Consider the following 18,606-nt stretch of genomic DNA (forward strand, 5'->3'; position numbering starts at 1 on the left):
TAAACTCTGCACAAATTATTTTAAAACTGAAGAGTTTTTTGTTTGTTTGTTCGTTTCGAGACAAGATGGAGTGCAGGTCACCCAGGCTGGAGTGCAGTGGCGCGATCTTGGCTCAACGCAACCTCCACCTTCGAGCCTCAAGCAATTCTGCCTCAGCCTCCCGAGTAGCTGGGATTACAGGCATGCGTCACTACCGCCTGGCTAATTTTTATCTTTTTTTTGAGATGGAGTTTCACTCTGTCACCCAGGCTGGAGTGCAATGGCAGGATCTCAGCTCACTGCAACCTCCACCTCCTGGGTTCAGGCCGTTCTCCTGCCTCAGCCTCGCAAGTAGCTGTGATTACAGGTGCGCGCCATCATGCCCAGCTAATTTTTTTGTGTTTTTTAGTAGAGACAGGGTTTCACCCTGTGTGCCAGGCTGGTCTCGAACTCTGACCTCATGATCCACCCGCCTCGGCCTCCTACAGTGCTGGGATTACAGGTGTGAGCCACTGCACCCGGCCCTTACTGTCTGGCTAATTTTTAAATTTTCAGTCGAGATGGGGTTTCACCATATTGGCCAGGCTAGTCTTGAACTCCTGACCTCAAATGATCCACCCGCCTCAGCCTCCCAAAGTGCTGGGATTACAGGCATGAGCCACCACACCAGGCCTAAAAACTGAAGGTTTGAATAGAGAAAAAGCATGCTTTAAAAGTAAAGAAAATGGAATTTTGCCTAGCATATGTGGAGTCCTAATATGCAGCTCTGTTTCCTTAAATTCCATGAAAGCCATGCAGTACCTTTGCTAGTTTCTCCTCACAGATCAGGATAACCTAGGGGGCTCTTGTGTGAATCGTCTTCTATTTCTTGCAGCCTAACTCATAGGCTTTCGTTGTTCAATATTTGTATGATGGTTTTGATACTATTTTTGGTAACCCATGACAGTTATTTTTATTTCTAATTTTTTAAGTAAGCAAATGGGCAGAGATATTAACTGGTAAAAGTCCAACTGATCACCCAGGGTGGACTGAATCTCTCAACTGATGCTCTGTTGCTGGAGCCCTGAGAAACCCGCATACCCTGCCCGGGCACCTGCCTGGGGTTGTCTGCTGCGTGTCCTGGGATGGTTCAATTCACCAAGGACTTCCTCTGGTATAAATCTTCAGCTTCCTTGCATGCCCTCAGTTGCTATTTAAGCTTTCTGTTTTCTTCCCTAAAGGAATCAGTTTAGACTTGAAATTCAGTTTTTCCTGAAACTGATCAGAAGTTAGTGACACCTTGATTGGATCCGTTTTTCTGTCAGGTGATGAATCTTTGGAAAATTTACTTTCTGTATTCTGTGTTTATTTAAATCTGTGGCCGTTATTCATCATGTATCCTTTATGCCTATGTACGTAAAAAATCTTGCTAATACATTATTTTTTAGACAACTTTATGGAGGTATAATTCACACACCATATAATTTACCCATTAAGTTATGCAATTCATTGGCTTTTAGGGTATTTACAAGTTGTGTGTTCATTGCCACAATCATTTATAGAATATTATCATTATTACAAAAAGAAACTCCATCACCCCCAAACCCCAAGCCCTAGGAAACCATGAATCTACTTTCTGTCTGCATAGATTTGCCTGTTCTGGACATGTTATATAAATAGAATAATACACTATCTGGTCCTTTGTGACGATCTTCTTTTACTCACTATAATGTTTTCGGGGTTCATCCATGTTGTAGCATGGGTCAGTACTTCATTTCTTTTTATTGCCAAATAATATTCCATTGTATGGATATACCACATTTTATTTATACATTCCTCAGTTGGTGGACATTTGGGTTGTTTCCATTTTTTGGCCATTATGAATAATGCTGCTATTAACATTTGTGTGAAGATGTATTTTCATCTGTCACGGATATATACCTTGGCATGAAATTGCTGGACCATATGGTAACTCTGTTTAATTGTTGGAAGAACTGTTTTCCAAAGCAACTGGACCATTTTACATTTCCATTAGCAATGTATGAGGGTTATGATTTCTCCACGTCCTCACCAACATTTTTGATTATAGCCATTCTAGCGTGTGTGAGGTGTTAATCTCATTGTGGTTTTGATTTGTATTTCCATGATGGCTAATGATACTGAGCATCTTTTCATGTGCTTATTGGCCATTTATTTTTATTTTTGATACAGTCTCGCTCTGTTGCCCAGGCTAGAGTGTAGTGGCGCGATCTCGGCTCACTGCAACCTCTACCTCCCAGGTTCAAGTGAGTCTTATGTCTCAGCCTCCTGAGTAGCTGGGACTACAGGCATGTGCCACCATGCCTGGCTAATTTTTGTATTTTTAGAAGGGACGGGGTTTCACCATGTTGGCCAGGCTGGTCTCGAACTCCTGACCCCAAGTGATCCACCTGCCTTGGCCTCCCAAAGTGCTGGATTACAGGTGTGAGTGACTGCGCCTGGCCTTATTGGCAATTTCTGTACTGATTTTGGAGAAGACACTATTCAGATACTTTGCCCATTTTTAAAAATTGGGCTATTTGCTGGCCGGGCATGGTGGCTCACATCTGTAATTCCAGCACTTTGGGAGGCAGAGGTGGGCAGATCACTTGAGGTCGGGATTTTGAGACCAGCCTGACCAAGATGGAGAAACCCCATCTCTACTAAAAATACAAAATTAGCCGGGCGTGGTGGCGCATGCCTGTAATCCCAGCTACTTGGGAGGCTGAGGCAGGAGAATCACTTGAACCCGGGAGGCGGAGGTTGCGGTGAGCCGAGATTGTGCCATTGCACTCCAGCCTGGGCAACAAGAGTGAAACTCCATCTCAAAAAAAAAAAAATTGGGCTATTTGCTTTTTAATTATTTTTTAATTATTTGAAAATAATTTAATGCATATTTTAGACTAATTTAAAAAATAAGATAGTGATTGTGACTCCAGTCATATAGTAGTTGTAAAATTAATATAGAATGAAGGCATATGTATGCATAAAACTTGCTATGCTTTTTAGTGGCTCTTTGTGTATCTGGTGGATTGTTGATCATTCTTTTTCCTTCCTCTTAGGAGCTCATTTTGCAGCTCTCAAGCTTTTATAGCATGCTGTAAACAATTGTCAAAGTTGTTTATCAAGAAACAGATAGAGTTGCAACTTGTTTCTAGTAATAGAAACTTTTACACTGCATTCAATGCCTAACGTTGCAGAAACAGAAAGGTCAAATGATTCTGGAAATGGTGAGCACAAATCTGAGAGAAAGTCACCTGAAGAGAATCTACAAGGTGCTGTAAAATCTTTCTGCACAAGTGCCTCAGGAGCACCCTTGGGTCCCAAAGGAGATGGTCATTATCCATGGAGTTGTCCAGTGACTCATACACGGGAAAAAATTTATGCCATCTGTTCGGACTATGCCTTTCTCAACCAGGCGACCTCAATCTATAAAACTCCAAATCCATCCCGCTCTCCTTGCCTCCCTGATAGTACCTCTTTATCTGCTGGAAATAATTCATCAAGATACATTGGTATCCCGACTAGTACATCGGAAATTATCTACAATGAAGAAAATAGCTTGGAAAACTTATCCAACAGCCTGGGCAAGCTACCTCTCGCATGGGAAATTGATAAATCTGAATTTGATGGGGTGACCACAAATTCGAAACACAAATCAGGTAAGGAGGGAGCCATGAAGTTCATATGTGAAAATAATGAGAAAACAAACACTATGTCTTGTTTAATCTTGCCATTACACATAGTTTCCTTGTATAATACTAGATAAGGAACATGGCTATCATCTTGTCTGTCAATGTAGTTTTAGGAAAGTAACCTTGACGTAGGGCATGTAGTTCATTGCGGGGCTTCCACTGGAAACTTCAAGCATAAGCTTTGTATCAAATATTTTGAGAGATTTGAAAATCTAATAATGTAAAATATTATAAACAGATGGTAGCTTAGAAAATGAAATGTTAATAACATGGCTAGAATAACTTACTACTGTTTCATAGTTTTATAGGCACATGAAGTTGTATTTCCTGACCAAACATCTTTTTTTCCTGCTATATAATGTTTTAGCTTTTTTTGTTGTTAAAATTTTTTAGGCACCCAGCAAAGCCTCCATGTACCACCAAGTGGGTTGTGTACTGCTCAATTTAAGAGGATGCTGTTTACCGAGGTTGTGCATAACTTTCACAGTTGCAATGGGGTGGTCCTATGGCAGATAGAAATACTTTACACTTCTTTCTTTTGAATTCAAAGTAATACAGGAATTTTATGAGGCAGGTACTGTTAGCCCCATTTGTAGGTGAAGAAATTGAGGCTTAGAAGGGATAAATCTCTAGACCGAAGTTGCAGAGTTAATAAGAGGAGGTCAAACTAGGATTTGTATTTACTTCTAGTCTTCTCTGATGATTTTATAAAACCTTAATGCTTCTGCTTGTTTATCTGCAAAATCAATTTGTTTCATAGAATTTTAGGTAAATTTGTAATTCTTAAGGGTAGGAGGGGGATTTTGCTTTTTTTGTCTAAATTTGTAGGTAATGAGTCTGCAATTTTCTTTTTGTCTAATGCCTTTGGCCAGTTTTGGAATTAGGGCTATGCAAATCTTCTAAGAAAAGTTGGGAAGTGTTTTTTCCTCCTGTTTTCTGAGGATTTTCAGAGAGATATTAAAATCTGTATTTATAATTATGGAGTTGTCTTGATTTCTGTTAATTTCTGACAAATTTTAATTTGTCCATGTCATTTAAGTTGTCAAATTTGGGGGCTTAAAGTTAATGTTATCCCTCTAACATCTAAGGAATCTTTGTTGACAACTCCTTTTGCATCCTAATACTGGTAATTAATTTATTTTCTCTATTTTTTTTAAAACTGATCAATCTAGCTAGGAGTTTATCAATTTTGTTAATCTTTTCAAATAACTAGCTTTTGTTAATTTTCTCAATTGTTTGTTTTCTATTTCATTGGTTTCTGCTCTTTATTATTTGCTTCCTCTGACTTACTTTGGGTTTATTTTGTTCTTCATTTTCTGACTTCTTAAGATGGAAGCTTAGATCATTGATTTTAGACTTTTCTACCATAAGCATAGAATACTCCAAATTGCTAAGTACTGCTTTAGCTGCAGCTCACAAATTTTGATATGCTTATTATTATTACTTAATTGGAAATATTTTCTAATTTCCTTTGCAATTTATTCTTTGATACATGTATTACTTAGATGTATGCTGTTTAATTTCTAGATATTAATAGTTTTTCTAAATATTGATTTCTAGTTTAGTTCCATTGTGGACAGAGGGCATATGCTCTCAGTCTTTTTAAATTTACTGAGACTTGTTTTATGACCCAACATATGGTCTATCTTGGTGAATGTGCCATGTGCACTTGAAAAGAATGTGCATTCTGCAGTCATTGGGAGTATCTATAAATATTAATTATGTCGAAGTGTTTGAAAGTGTCATTCACATCTTTTGTGTCTCCGCTTAACTTGTGTCTTGTTCTATCAATTACCAAAAGAAGGGTGTTAAAAATCTTCAACTATGATTGTGAAGTTGTCTTTTCTCCATTTAATTTCTTTTTTAAAAACTAATACATGTCTAATAACAGAAAATTTACTGTCTTAACCATTTTTACGTGTACAGTTTAGTGGCATTAAGTACATTTACGTTGTTGTGCAACCATCATCACTATTCATCTCCAAATCTCTTTCCTTTTCTTTTCTTTCTTTTTTTTTTTTTTCTGAGACAGAGTCTCGCTCTGTCGCCCAGGCTGGAGTGCAGTGGCGCGATCTCGGCTCACTGCAAGCTCCGCCTCCCGGGTTCACACCATTCTCCTGCCTCAGCCTCCCGAGTACCTGGGACTACAGGCGCCTGTCACCGTGCCCGGCTACTTTTTTGTATTTTTAGTAGGGTCGGGGTTTCACCGTGGTCTCGACCTCCTGACCTCGTGATCCGCCCGCCTCGGCCTCCCAAAGTGCTGGGATTACAGGCGTGAGCCACCCCGCCCAGCCCTTCTTTTCATCTTACAAAATAAACTTTGTACCCATTAAACAATAAATCCTCATTCCTTCTCCTCACAGTCCCTGGAAACCACAATTTTACTTTTTGTCACTGTGAATTTGACTATTCTAGGTACCTTATGTAAGTGAAATCATATAGTATTTGTCTTTTTATGACTGGTTTATTTATAGCCACCCCTGCTCTCTTCTGGGTGCTATTTGCTTTGGAATACTTATTTCCATCCTTTTACTTTCAGCCTATTTGTATCTCTAGATCTAAAGTGAGTGTTTCAGAGACAGCATATAGTTAGCTAATTTTTTCTGTTTCTGTTTTTGTGTGTGAACCCACGTATACAAAAACATATTTTTAAAAAAATGCATTCTGCCAGTCTCTATGTTTTGAGTGGAGAATTTAATCCATTTACATTTGAAGTAATCACTGATAAGGAGAGACTTGTCATTTTAGTACTTGTTATTTATATGTAAACACTCTGTTCCTATACTGCTTCGTCCACACTTAACTTTCAGTTATTGATGTTATCAAATTACAAATTTATATATTGTGTGTCTGAAAACATAAACTAATAATTTTTATGTATTAATCTCTTAAATAATGTGGAAAACAAAATGTGGAGTTACAAACCAAAGTTATTATAATAATAGCTTTTTTATTTTTATTTTTTATTTTGAAATAGGGTCTTGCTCTCTTGCCCAGGCTGGAGTGCAGTGGCACGACCATGGCTTACTGCAGCCTTGACCTCAGGCTTAAGCAATCCTCCCACTTCAGCCTTCTGAGTAGCTGGGACTACAGGTGCACATCACCACGACTGGCTAATTTTTAATATTTTTTTGTAGAGATAGAGTCTCACTATGTTGCCAGGGGTGGTCTTGAACTCCTGGGCTCAAGCAATCCTCCTGCCTCGGCCTTCCAAAGTGCTGGGAATACAGGCATGAGCCACTGCTCCTGGCCTACTACTAGCTTTTAAGCTAATAATAATTTCTCAAAAATGTATTAGTCTCATAAATCATATAGAATACAAAAACTGGAGTTGCAAACTAACAAAATAACACTGGCTTTTATAATTGTTCGTGTATTACCTTCACTGAGGTAAATTTATTTCTTCCTATGGCTTTGAGGTACTAGCTAATGTCCTTTCATTTCAACCAGCAGGAATCCTTTTAGCATTCCTTACAGGGCAAGTCTAGTGGTAATAAACTCCTTCAGTTTTTGTTTGTCTGGGAATGTCTGAGTTTCTTCTTCACTTTTGAAGGACAGTTTTGCTGGATTTAGAATTCTTGTTTGAATTTTTTTTTTATTTCAGCACTTTGAATATATCAGCCCACTTCCTTCTGGCTTCCAAAGTTTCTGATGAGAAATCTGTTGATATTCTTATTAACAGTCCATTGTATGTGATGAGTTGCTTCTCTTGTGTTGCTTTTAAGAGTCTTTGTCTTTTTGCAATTTTTAAATTTTTTATTTGATACGGAGTTTTGTTCTTGTTGCCCAGGTTGGAGTGCAATGGCACGATCTTGGCTCACCACAACCTCCACCTTCTGGGTTCAAGCAATTCTCCTGCCTCAGCCTCCCAAGTAGCTGGGATTACAGGCGTGCGCCACCATGCCTGGCTAATTTTGTATTTTTAGTAGAGACGGAGTTTCTCCATGTTGGTCAGGCTGGTCTTGAACTCCTGACCTCAGGTCATCCGCCTGCCTCAGCCTCCCAAAGTGCTGGGATTACAGGCGTGAGCCACCGTGCCCAGCCTTGCAATTTTATTATAACATATATTGGTGTGGGTCTTTCTAAGTTCATCCTATTTGGAATTTGTTGAGTTTCTTGGATGTTTATATTCATGTTTTTTAAATCAAATTTGGAAAGTTTTTAGGCATTATTTGTTTGGATAATCTCCTACCCCTTTTTCAGTGTCTTCTCCTTCTGGAACTTCTGCAATGTATAGGTTGGTCCACTCGATGGTGTCCCCAGGTCCCTTAAGGTCTGTTTACTTTTCTTCAGACCTTTTTTTTTCTGTTCCTCATACTCAATTATTTCAGTTTTCCCATCTTCAAGGTCACTAATTTTTCTGCCTGCTCAAAACTGCCTTTGAATCACTCTAGTGAGTTTTTCATTTCAGTTATTATATTTTTCAGCCCAAGAATTTATTTTTGGTTTTAAGTTTTCTATCTCTTCATTGATATTTCCATGTTCTTCATACATACATCTTTCGTTAGTTCTTTTGGCATCTTTAAGATAGTGGTTTTAAAGTCCTTGTCTAGCAAGTCTGCCATTTGGTCTTTCCAGGATGGTTTCTGTTGGTTTATATATTTTTTTGTTTCTTTGAATGGGCCTTATTCTGTTTCTTGTGATTTTTTGTTGTTGTTGTTGTTGGAAACTAGACATTCAAATATTATTTAATAATGCAGTAACTCTGGAAATCAATACCCATCTTTCCCAGAGTTTGTTGATTTTAGTTTTTGTTTTTTGATTGCTATAGGCTGTTTCTATGCTGGTAATCAACCTGAGGTATACATTTAAGGGCTTCTCAGGGAAAAGCCCCTGCCTTTCTCTGAGTGTGTACAGTGATTTTCTACATTTCCCTGTATAAGTGATTGCTTTTGAATATACTGTTTTTGAAATGTCTGGCTCCCCAAACAGAAAATGGAGAGGAAAAAAAACAGAACAAAAAAACCACACCAAAGGTGCTGGCCCCTTAAGTCCTCTGGAAGTTGCTTCTGTTGTAGTGGGAGGGGCTTGCAACATTGGAGGGAGAGTTGCAACAATGGCTGCCCCCCTGTATCTGTGCTTTCAAGATCAGAAGCAGCAGTCAGCAATCAGAACACAGATTTCCAATTTTCATAGGACATGGACCTTTTTGCCCACCATGGTTCCCACAAACTGCCTGAAGCTTCTCCAGGAGCATATGCACAGTTTCTTGGACTTGGGGATAGGTAGTTGTACCTTGCTATGTGCTGAAATTGACCAAAATTTGCATTTACTGTTCAGGACTTCCTCTGAAAGTTGCAATCCTTTGAATAGACTCTGGAATTCCAAAATAATTACATCAGACAGATTCTGCCAGTGCAGTTGTCTAGGTGGGGAGACAGATTCCTGGTGCCTCCTACACTGCACTTAATTCTGTTAATTTTTTTAAAAATGTAATTTGAAGCTCTGTTATTAAGTTCACATACATTTATGAGATTTAGGCCTTCTTCCTGAATTGACCCTTTTATCATTATGAAATATATTTCGTTATTCCTGGAAGTATTTCTTGTTCTGAAAGTTACTTTGTTTGATATTAATAAAGCTCCTCAGCTTTATTTTGATTATATTTGCATGGTATATATTTTTCCATCTATTTATTTTAGTTCTAGAATTTACATTTTTATAGCTTCTATTTCTCATCTGAGATTTGCTATATTTTTCATTTATTACAAGAGCATTTTATCTATGTCATAATGCAGAGTTATAATATCTACTTTAATTTCTTATCTGCAAATTTCAAAATCTGGCTAATCTCACAGTAGGCCTTATCTTTTTTCTTGAGAATGAGTCATATTTTTCACTTTCCTTATATGTTCTATAATTTTGCATTGTATCCTAGAGAGTGGGACTATTATGTTATGGCAACTCTGGTATATTCCTTCAAAGTGTTGATTTTTTTTTGGTTTTGGGAGGCAGTTAATTTGGTTGAACTAAAACTGTAAATTCTGTCTCCTTGGTACAGCTCCAACCATCTCAGTTCAGCTCTTTTAGCTGTGTTGCTTGAATTTGCTCCTTACATGCATGGTCCAGGGGTCAGTCCAAGGTTTGGGCCAAATTTATACACAGAATTTGGGCCCCCTCTTCTCTGTGGCTCTCTTCTTTCTGGGTTTCCTCTCACCTCACTTTCAGTGATGGTGATTGCACAGGACTCTGTCCTTTGGTTCTTCCAGTAAAAAAAGACAGTGGATTTTCTGCTTTTGTTTGCTCTTCTCATACCTTTTTCTAAAAGTCAGTGTGGTGAATACATATATTTGTGTGTGTATGTGTCTGTGTGTGTCTGTCTGTCTGTGTGTGTGTTTGGTGTTGAGGCTGTGTGTGTGTGCTGTGGGTAGGGTGAGGAATGGAAGAAGGAACTCAGTAATGAGAAGGAGCAGTGGGCGAAGGTTCTTGAAGCTGATGTGATGGAAGGCAGAAGGTGCAGGTGTTGCTCTTCTATGTTCCCATCTCAAACGGCGCTTTCACTTTGATGTGGCTTCTTTCCCTCAAGTCAAATGAACTTTTGCCTGTGGGACCAGCTCTTTCTGTGGCAGTGCGGGCATTTTATGAAGTACGCTCATTTGGGCCGTATATGCTAATTGATCCCAGGGGCAATCCGAGATTCAACAAAAAGAGAATAGGGGGCAAGGTCATGGAACCCTAGAGGAAAGTGTGAGTACAGACTGTTGGCAGAGCCTATCAAGGTCACACATTTCTATGTTTCATTAGCTTTAACATTTTAAGTGGCTGGGAAAACTACTTAGGGAATTAAGTCATTATTAGGCAGTGAAGACATCTCAAGAAATGTTAGAAACTAATTCTTCTGTTATCTGACTCTGTAAGAGTCATTTTACCAGTCAAGGAAATTTGGCACAATGAGATTTGGCACAGTTGCTCACCTTTGCCAGTGATGTTCAGCTCTGTGAAAAGTGTGTTCTCTGTAAAAACTTAGAAAAAATAATTAAAAGGGTCACGCATGATGGCTCACACTTGTAATCCCAGCATTTTGTGAGGCTGAGGCAGGTGGATTGCTTGAGCTCAGGAGTTTGAGACCAACCTGGGCAACATAGTGAGACCCTGACTTTGTTAAAAATACAAAAATTAGCTGGGCATGGTCGCACGCACTTGTGGTCCCAGGTACTCCTGAGGCTGATGTAGGAGGATTGCTTGAGCCCCGGAGGCAGAGGTTGCAATGAGTGGAGATTGCGTCACTGCACTCTTGTCTGGGCAACAAAGCAAGACCTTGTCTCAAAACAAACAAACAAACAAACAAACAAAAAGAATAATTAAAAGGAAGGCGAAACATTGTTTCTTGACTTTATAGTCTTCATTATTATTACATTTTTACAGAAATTCCCTGTGTAATAATAGTTCCTGAGTTCCAGCTGTTCGTAGGTGTCAAATGGTTTCTCTGTATAGTATCTTGAAGGAATAAAACTGATCTCTTTCCATGTTTGCTTACTAGGCATATATGTATATAATCTATTTTATAATTTATGAATGACTCATAAAAATGAAATATTAGCCTTCAGTTAATTTTTATAACAGAACTGTTTTAAAATAGAATATGTGTGAAATATTAAAGTATTTGAGCATAGCTATCTGAAATCTTAATAGTATTTTAATGAAATGAGGCTTGGATGTTATTTATTGATATTTTACTTTATATAATTTTTTACTAGATACTTCACTAACGATTTAGAAATAAAACTTATAAAAATAAAAAGTATAGGGATGGATACCCCATTCTCCATGATGTGGTTATTTCACATTGCATGCTTGTATCAAAACATCTTATGTACCCCTAAGCATGTACACCTACTATGTACTCTCAAAAATTAAAAAAAATTAAAAAGTACAAATTCTCACTCTTACTTTTGGCTTCCTTTTGTCTAGCTCCCAATTCTCCCTTCCCCAGTAGTAACCACTGTTGTTTGCCTTGAGGGTCTTTTGGAGAATGTTTGTATGTGTGTGCATGTATGAGTGTGTGTGCACATGCATACATAGATGCATACATGCACACAGGAGGCTTGCTTTTCATTCTAGTTTCTGTGCTAGAGTTGCATTTTAGTAATGTATATGTGTGCATCATTCTTCATTCATTCTGTCGTCTCTGTCGGTCCAGAGATATTTTTAAACATCACATCATCACATTAATGGATCTGGTGCTTTTACTTTCTTAACAGAGTTGCTTTAATTTGGTTTTATTGTTTTATAGAAAGCCTTCATTTTCTGGAAAGTGGTCTAGTTAAATTTTTTTACTGTCGATAATTTGATTTTCCGGATGTGGCTAAAGATTTAGTGATTGACTGTTCCACCAGCTAAGTGACTAGCTCTGGAATTGGAGTATAAGAACCTGACACGAAATAGGATTCATGGTTGTTTAAATTTGTTTTTATTATTTCTCTTTAAGGTAGGGGACTATTATTGAAAATACATGTATTACTTCATTGTGTTTGCAAATATCACTTTTAGAACCTGTGGCAGTTATTTATTTGTTATTATTTTTTCTTTGCACTTTCTCAGCAGAATTATTAAGGCAGTTACTTCTTAATTTTGGTGCATAATTAATTTTTGTCATTTCAGTTTACTTCATCTTAAGCATTTTGCTTATTTTATACTCTTGTATTCTAGGCAATGCAAAGAAACAAGTTTCCAAGAGAAAAACTTCAGATAAAAAGGGAAGATATCAGAAGGAATGTCCTCAGCATTCTCCTCTTGAAGATATTAAACAGCGGAAAGTATTAGACCTCAGACGATGGTGATGTTATCAGTTTTTATTTTTTTCATTTTTGAAATATGTAATATATGTTGGCAATAACGTAGCAGTTTACAAATTAATACATTATATGTATCATAAATATTTTTATTTCTAAAATTATTACCAGGATTTCTGAATATTTAAAGTCACCACAAATGTTTGAAGTAGATTAATAATGAGTTATGCTGGTCTTTCCCAAACTCGGCTTATTATTAGAGTCATCTGTGTGACTCCACGTAACTGCCATGTAGATTTAACAATGATTAACCTTTTGATGTAGTTAAATACTTAGCTTTTCATTGCTGAAGAATTTTCAAGTAAGTGACTGATTTTTATTATATTTCATCTCAAGTTACCTAAGTATGCATCTCTAAAAAATGACTTTTTTCTACTTAACCACAATACTTTTGTCATACTTAATAAGATTAACGATATTTCCCTAGTGTCTAATTCCCAGGCTAAATTCACGTTTCCCAGATTGTTCTGAAAAGGTCTTCACATCTGTTTGTTCAAAGTGGGACCCAGTTGTGAACCACATGTTTGCTTGTCATGACCCATAATTCTCTCAATCTAGGTCAGTCTCCACCCCACTTTCCCCCTTGTCTTTTAAAAATTCTATTATTTTAATCGACAAATGAGAATAATAAAGATTGACTTATTGAAGAGACTTGGCCAGATATTTTATAGAATGTCCTACATTCCAGATTTGTATTTTCCTTTTAGTTTCCTAAATTATGCATCTAACCTCAATATTTCCTGTAAACTGGAAGTTGAATACAAAGACTTGATTAAATTCCAGTACAACATTTTATGCAAGAACACTGCTTAAGTGGGCCCTCATACTTCAAAGGTTTCACATCAGAAGGCACATGGTATCTGATTATCCAGTATTAGCAATTCTAAGTGATTACTGGGTTAAGGTGGTGACAGCTGTATTCTACATTGACGAGTTCTTTCTTTCTCCTCTGGTACCCTCAAGTAATCAGTAGAGTGACAGAGTGGCATTAGGTAATAGCCAGGTTCCATCAGCTTTTTACCTTATGGTTTTAGCCAAATGTATTGACAACCCAAACCCATTGATGATCCTTGTCTGAATATTTGTTGCAAAATGGTTATATTTCAAAATTCCAATTTTTTTTTTTTTTTACTTTTATTACCCAGCCTTCTTCTGTAGCTTTCACTGATCAACTGGGGCTATTTGGTTATCTTAAAATACAGTTCCTAGTCTAATGAAAACAAGTTTAATTCATGACAACTTTTATGTATTACTGACCCTGATTTGGGTTTTTAAAATTCCTTTGTATGACATTTTAGAAATATATTTTTATCACTTATTTAATAAATATTGGACCCTTTGCTGTAGGCTGAGAAACAGAGATGCACACAACATTGTCTTTGTTTTCCCAAGGTTTACAATCCAGTTGAGGTGAGGGGACTAAACAGAAAAATGTTAAATATCTTAGGCAGTTTGTCATGTGATGGGTATGAATCACTAATTAACCATGAAAGGAGGTAATGATCACCAGAATGCTTTACTAAGGTCCTGGGTCTTAAGGGAGGAAATATGAAGGGTTGGAGGGTGAAGGGTCTTTGAAAGAATTACAGCAAAGTGTCTCTGGAATGTGGGTAATGAAGAGTAGAGTAGCTTGTCTAAAGTGAGGCTCAGAGAGGCCAAGAAACCTGCCAGTGTCACATGGCTAATAAGTAGAAGATCTTGTATTGAAGCTGAAGAGTCAGACTCAACATTCATGCTGTTTGCGTATAATACATGTCATGATCTGTTTCTTAGATATCAGGCTCAATATTTAGATTTTTTTTCTGAGTTAAAGATAAGCCATGGACGATTTCTTAACAAAAGGAACTTTTATCAAGATAAATTTGGAATAGTTAGTATGTAGGGAATAATGGAGAAGAGACATTAAAGTCACAAACATTCATTTTAGTTTCTTTGAAAAGAAGGTTTTGCTCGTTTGTGCTTCTAATCACTTAGATTTAAGCTTTGTTTCAACAACAAATCTGTGTAACTACATATTAATAGTATAACATGTGAGGCCATGAAGGCTAGGACTAGGAAGGATAGATGGGAGAAATGCCCTGAGGGGAAAACATCACCAGGACTATAAGCCTGTTTTCCACTGAGAATATTACAAGATTAGGTTAGAATGGAAAGTCCCGTAGAAGATAGTAGAATGTTGGTAAGCATTTTAACCTGGTCATAAACAAGACTAGGAAACAAGTTTAGATTGATGAAAAAGTATGAAAAATCTTAAGAGAAATTCCCCTTTCCCTCTCCTTTTTAAAAATTCTTTCAGGCCAAATTTAGTGTTATGAGAAAAACTATATACATGCATGCAATACTTTGTTAGTAAATATATGTAAAGATAAATGTTGTAAAATATAAAACACTGTTAGTATTGGACTTGTAAAATAATCCCCAAAATTGAACTCTGGCAAAAATATTCACAGCAGAAAAAAAAAATCAGTAAATGAATGAGTTGCTTGTGTTTTATCAGCAAGGGCCATATAGCTTATGATGACAGAACTGTTAATAATCACTTGTCCACAAAGGTCTCTTAGGTTGGAGTTCACACTCATATTTAAACAACTAGGGCAGATTACTTGAATAAGGACATTAGTAAATTGCTCATGTTTCCAGGGATAGGGGAAAGGGGTAAAAGGGAGTTGTGTTGTTCAGTGGGTAAAGAGTTTCATTTTTGCAAGATGAAAAAGTTCTGTTGCCTAACAATTTGCATATAGTTGACACTACTGACCTGTACACTTAAAAATAGTGTACATGATAAATTTGATGTTGTATGTTTTTATCACAATTAAAGAACAAAGCAAAACTGAGGGAGGACTCAATAGATTTGACAGTAAGGTGTTGAAGACAGCACTTAGTATGTTAAGTGATAGTTATTAGCTTTTGTGTGTCATTTTGTGTAGTCTACAGATTTAGGGCTCGTGGCACACGTTCTCACTGATAAGTGAGAGCCGAACAATGTGAACACATGGACGTAGGGAGGGAACAACACACACTGGGCCCTGTCGCGGGGTGGGAACCGGGGACAGGAGAGTATCAGGAAAAATAGCTAATGCACACAGAGTGTAATACCTAGGTAATGGGTTGATAGATGCAGCAAACCACCATGACACACATTTATCTATGTAATAAAGCTGCACATCCTGCATGTATACCCTGGAACTTAAAAAAAAATATTGAAGGGTCATGGTTAACTTGTATGTGTGCCAATATGCATAGTATATATACATATACAAATGCATATATGTACACATGCATATGTCTAATTTTTCATTTTGTAATTAATTTTTAGACCACACTAAAGTTGCTCTTAGTGATGATAGGGCTTGTTTCTTTGTTTCATTGTGGCTACTTCTTAGCACCTTCTTTAGAAAGCAGTTAGGAGAAGATCATTTGAAGGCCAACGAGTGTTGTGGGTTATTGTTAAGCTGATTTAACATTATCTCCCCCCACAACCACGCTTGACTAGCTTCACATTTGGCCAGGTGCAGTGGCTCACGTCTGTAATCCAGCACTTTGGGAGGCTGAGGTGGAAGATCACAAGGTCAAGAGATTGAGACCATCCTGGCCAACATAGTGAAACCCTGTCTCTACTAAAAATACAAAAATTAGCTGGTTGTGGTGGCGCACGCCTGTCGTCCCAGCTACTCGGGAGGCTGAGGCAGGAGAATTGCTTGAACACGGGAGGTGGAGGTTGCAGTGAGCCAAGATTGCACCACAGCACTCCAGCCTGGGCGACAGAGTGAGACTCTGTCTCAAAAAAAAAAAAAAAAAAAAAAAAGAGAAAGCAAACGTATTTCTTCTTAAAACAGAATAAATAAATAGTCTGTCTCTTTCTCCTTCTGTTCACATTTGCCCCAGTTTCTTCTCTTGAATCATGACAGTTTGGAAAATTGTCTGGATTGCTTAGTGCCACTGAATCATGCCATGGAAGGATTTTGTATTTCACTTTTAAACTTCTCTGTGACAGGAGAAGCACTGCTTCATGGCTTCTTGCCCAAGGATTTTAGATGGACACAGTGGGTAATAAATGGATGAATTTTTGTTTGGGTTGAAGAATCTCTCTGAGAAGTTGACACGTGGGGGCAATGGTTTGTTTCTCTTGTATTTCTGAAGTTGCAAATAATCATGTAAGCAGTTCAACCAGGAGTTTACACCAAACTTTTAATAGGCGATATATCATTATTTTTTTTCCCATTGGTTTGGATAACATCCACTTTAACTGGCAGTTAGTCATACTTAGCTATTTTTGTTAAAGCAGGTGATTTATTGTTATTTTATATTTATGACATGATTAATAAGTGAATATGGAAGATTTTACATTGACTTAGGGGATCAAAGTTTTCATTATATTAACACCTTTAATTGCCATGAGTTTTCTATTTCTAGCATGCATATTTTGTGTTCATTCAAGTGAAGAAAACAGTCTTTTGTGTTCTCAGGTACTGCATAAGCCGACCACAGTATAAGACTTCTTGTGGCATCTCTTCATTAATTTCTTGTTGGAATTTCTTATACAGCACAATGGGAGCTGGAAAGTAAGTATGTCAATTTATCAGTACCCCCAAACTCCAAAGTAATTTGATGTTGCTTTTTCTATAACAGAAAAAAATTTAAGAATAGATTTTTTATAAATTTAACAAAACCCTGCTGTATTTTAGTGTAAGTCTTTTAGCTTAAAATATATACATGTATTATTTTCAGTGAAATAAAAATGGGCTGGGTACAGTGGCCCACACTTGTAATGTCAGCACTTTGGAAGGCCAAGGCGGGAGTATTGCTTGAAGCCAAGGAGTTTGAGACCAGCCTGGGCAACAAAGCAAGACCCCACCTCTACAAAGTAAAAAAATAAAAACAACTAGCCAGGCACAATGGCATGTACTTGTATTTCTAGTCTCTTAGGAGACTGAGGCAAGAGGATCACTTGAGCCCAGGAGTTTAAGGCTGCAGTGAGCTATGATCACGCCACTGCACTCCAGCCTGGGCCACAGAGTGAGAACCTGTCTCTAAAAAAATAAATAAAATAAAATAATGAAAAATATTACTAATATTATTTGCAAATCAGACAAGCATATTAACATTGAGACAGGCTGTATTTGCGTATGACTGGAATTGAAAAATGAAAGGCAATGAATGTTTCTTTTGTAGCCTTCCACCTATTACCCAAGAAGAAGCTTTACATATTCTGGGCTTTCAACCTCCATTTGAAGATATTAGGTTTGGTCCTTTCACGGGGAATACAACACTTATGAGGTATGAAGACCCTCTTAGAGGCAATATCGTGTTTCTAGTTTTGCAAAATAATAATGATGTAGATGTGTGTTGATAGTAAACCATGTATCCAGCTGCTGGGCTTCAACCTCTCATAGGTATACCAACTTTGGGCTATGCCTGAATTTCTTTAGAATTGGAATAATGCCATCTTTGTTGTAGAATTGTTGCCATGAACAAATCTTCTTGTTACTTTCAGGTGGTTTAGACAAATTAATGACCACTTCCATGTAAAAGGATGCTCTTATGTTCTATATAAGCCTCATGGGAAGAATAAAACAGCAGGAGAAACTGGTAGGTAAACATATAGAAGATTTACATACACACATACACACATGCACACACACACATACACACACACGGTTTAGAGTTCGTCTCAAAGACTGCCTGTTTAGCTTCCTGGGACATTATGTAAACCCTCAGCACAGTCTGTTACTTGCATGTAATCTGTAGGGCACTTTTTAATAAGCAGTTTAATATTTTACCTCTTCTAACCTTTTTATGTAGAACCTTTAGAACTTTAAGGTATATCACAAACACTACTCTAACACATTGTATTGTTTGGGTCCGTGGTGTGTGTGTGTGTTTGTGTGTGTATGTATGTGCGTGTGTACGCGCACATGCTAGTAAAACTCTAAGGAAGCAGCATGGAGTTAGCAGTTTTCTTCCTAAGAAGGAATGTAAGGATTTGAGAATATTTGATGTTAGACCTGTGTGGTGACATATAATGGCAGGAAAATAGACTGTTGAAGTGACAAAGTTCTGCTATAAAATAGTCTTGTTTATAACAGAAATATTAATGGAGTTGATCTCAAGGATTATTTTAGTTATGTGCTAATTAAATAATT

The 18,606-nt window shown here is 37.4% G+C and overlaps 2 protein-coding genes and 1 pseudogene across 3 annotated transcripts in view; all 3 read left to right on the forward strand.

Annotated features, from left to right (window-relative positions):
* Window positions 1-18,606, forward strand: part of BIVM (basic, immunoglobulin-like variable motif containing) — a 42,415-nt gene that overhangs the window by 4,989 nt on the left and 18,820 nt on the right. The window contains exons 2-7 of one of the 2 annotated variants that reach the window (NM_017693.4): window positions 1,200-1,283; window positions 3,039-3,638; window positions 12,321-12,447; window positions 16,930-17,025; window positions 17,636-17,740; window positions 17,958-18,052. In NM_017693.4, the coding sequence (NP_060163.2) occupies window positions 3,161-3,638; window positions 12,321-12,447; window positions 16,930-17,025; window positions 17,636-17,740; window positions 17,958-18,052 (901 nt within the window). In that variant the 5' untranslated portion in view covers window positions 1,200-1,283; window positions 3,039-3,160. The remainder of the gene's footprint in view (window positions 1-1,199; window positions 1,284-3,038; window positions 3,639-12,320; window positions 12,448-16,929; window positions 17,026-17,635; window positions 17,741-17,957; window positions 18,053-18,606) is intronic. The other variant, NM_001159596.2, reaches the window with a different exon arrangement.
* BIVM-ERCC5 (BIVM-ERCC5 readthrough) overlaps window positions 3,039-18,606 on the forward strand; it is a 68,850-nt gene continuing 53,282 nt past the window's right edge. Inside the window, exons 1-5 of the mRNA NM_001204425.2 lie at window positions 3,039-3,638; window positions 12,321-12,447; window positions 16,930-17,025; window positions 17,636-17,740; window positions 17,958-18,052. Of these exons, the coding sequence (NP_001191354.2) occupies window positions 3,161-3,638; window positions 12,321-12,447; window positions 16,930-17,025; window positions 17,636-17,740; window positions 17,958-18,052 (901 nt within the window). The 5' untranslated portion in view covers window positions 3,039-3,160. The remainder of the gene's footprint in view (window positions 3,639-12,320; window positions 12,448-16,929; window positions 17,026-17,635; window positions 17,741-17,957; window positions 18,053-18,606) is intronic.
* RNY5P8 (RNY5 pseudogene 8) lies at window positions 15,892-15,959 on the forward strand (annotated as a pseudogene).

Source organism: Homo sapiens, chromosome 13, assembly GCF_000001405.40.
Source record: "Homo sapiens chromosome 13, GRCh38.p14 Primary Assembly".
Lineage (NCBI taxonomy): Eukaryota > Metazoa > Chordata > Mammalia > Primates > Hominidae > Homo > Homo sapiens.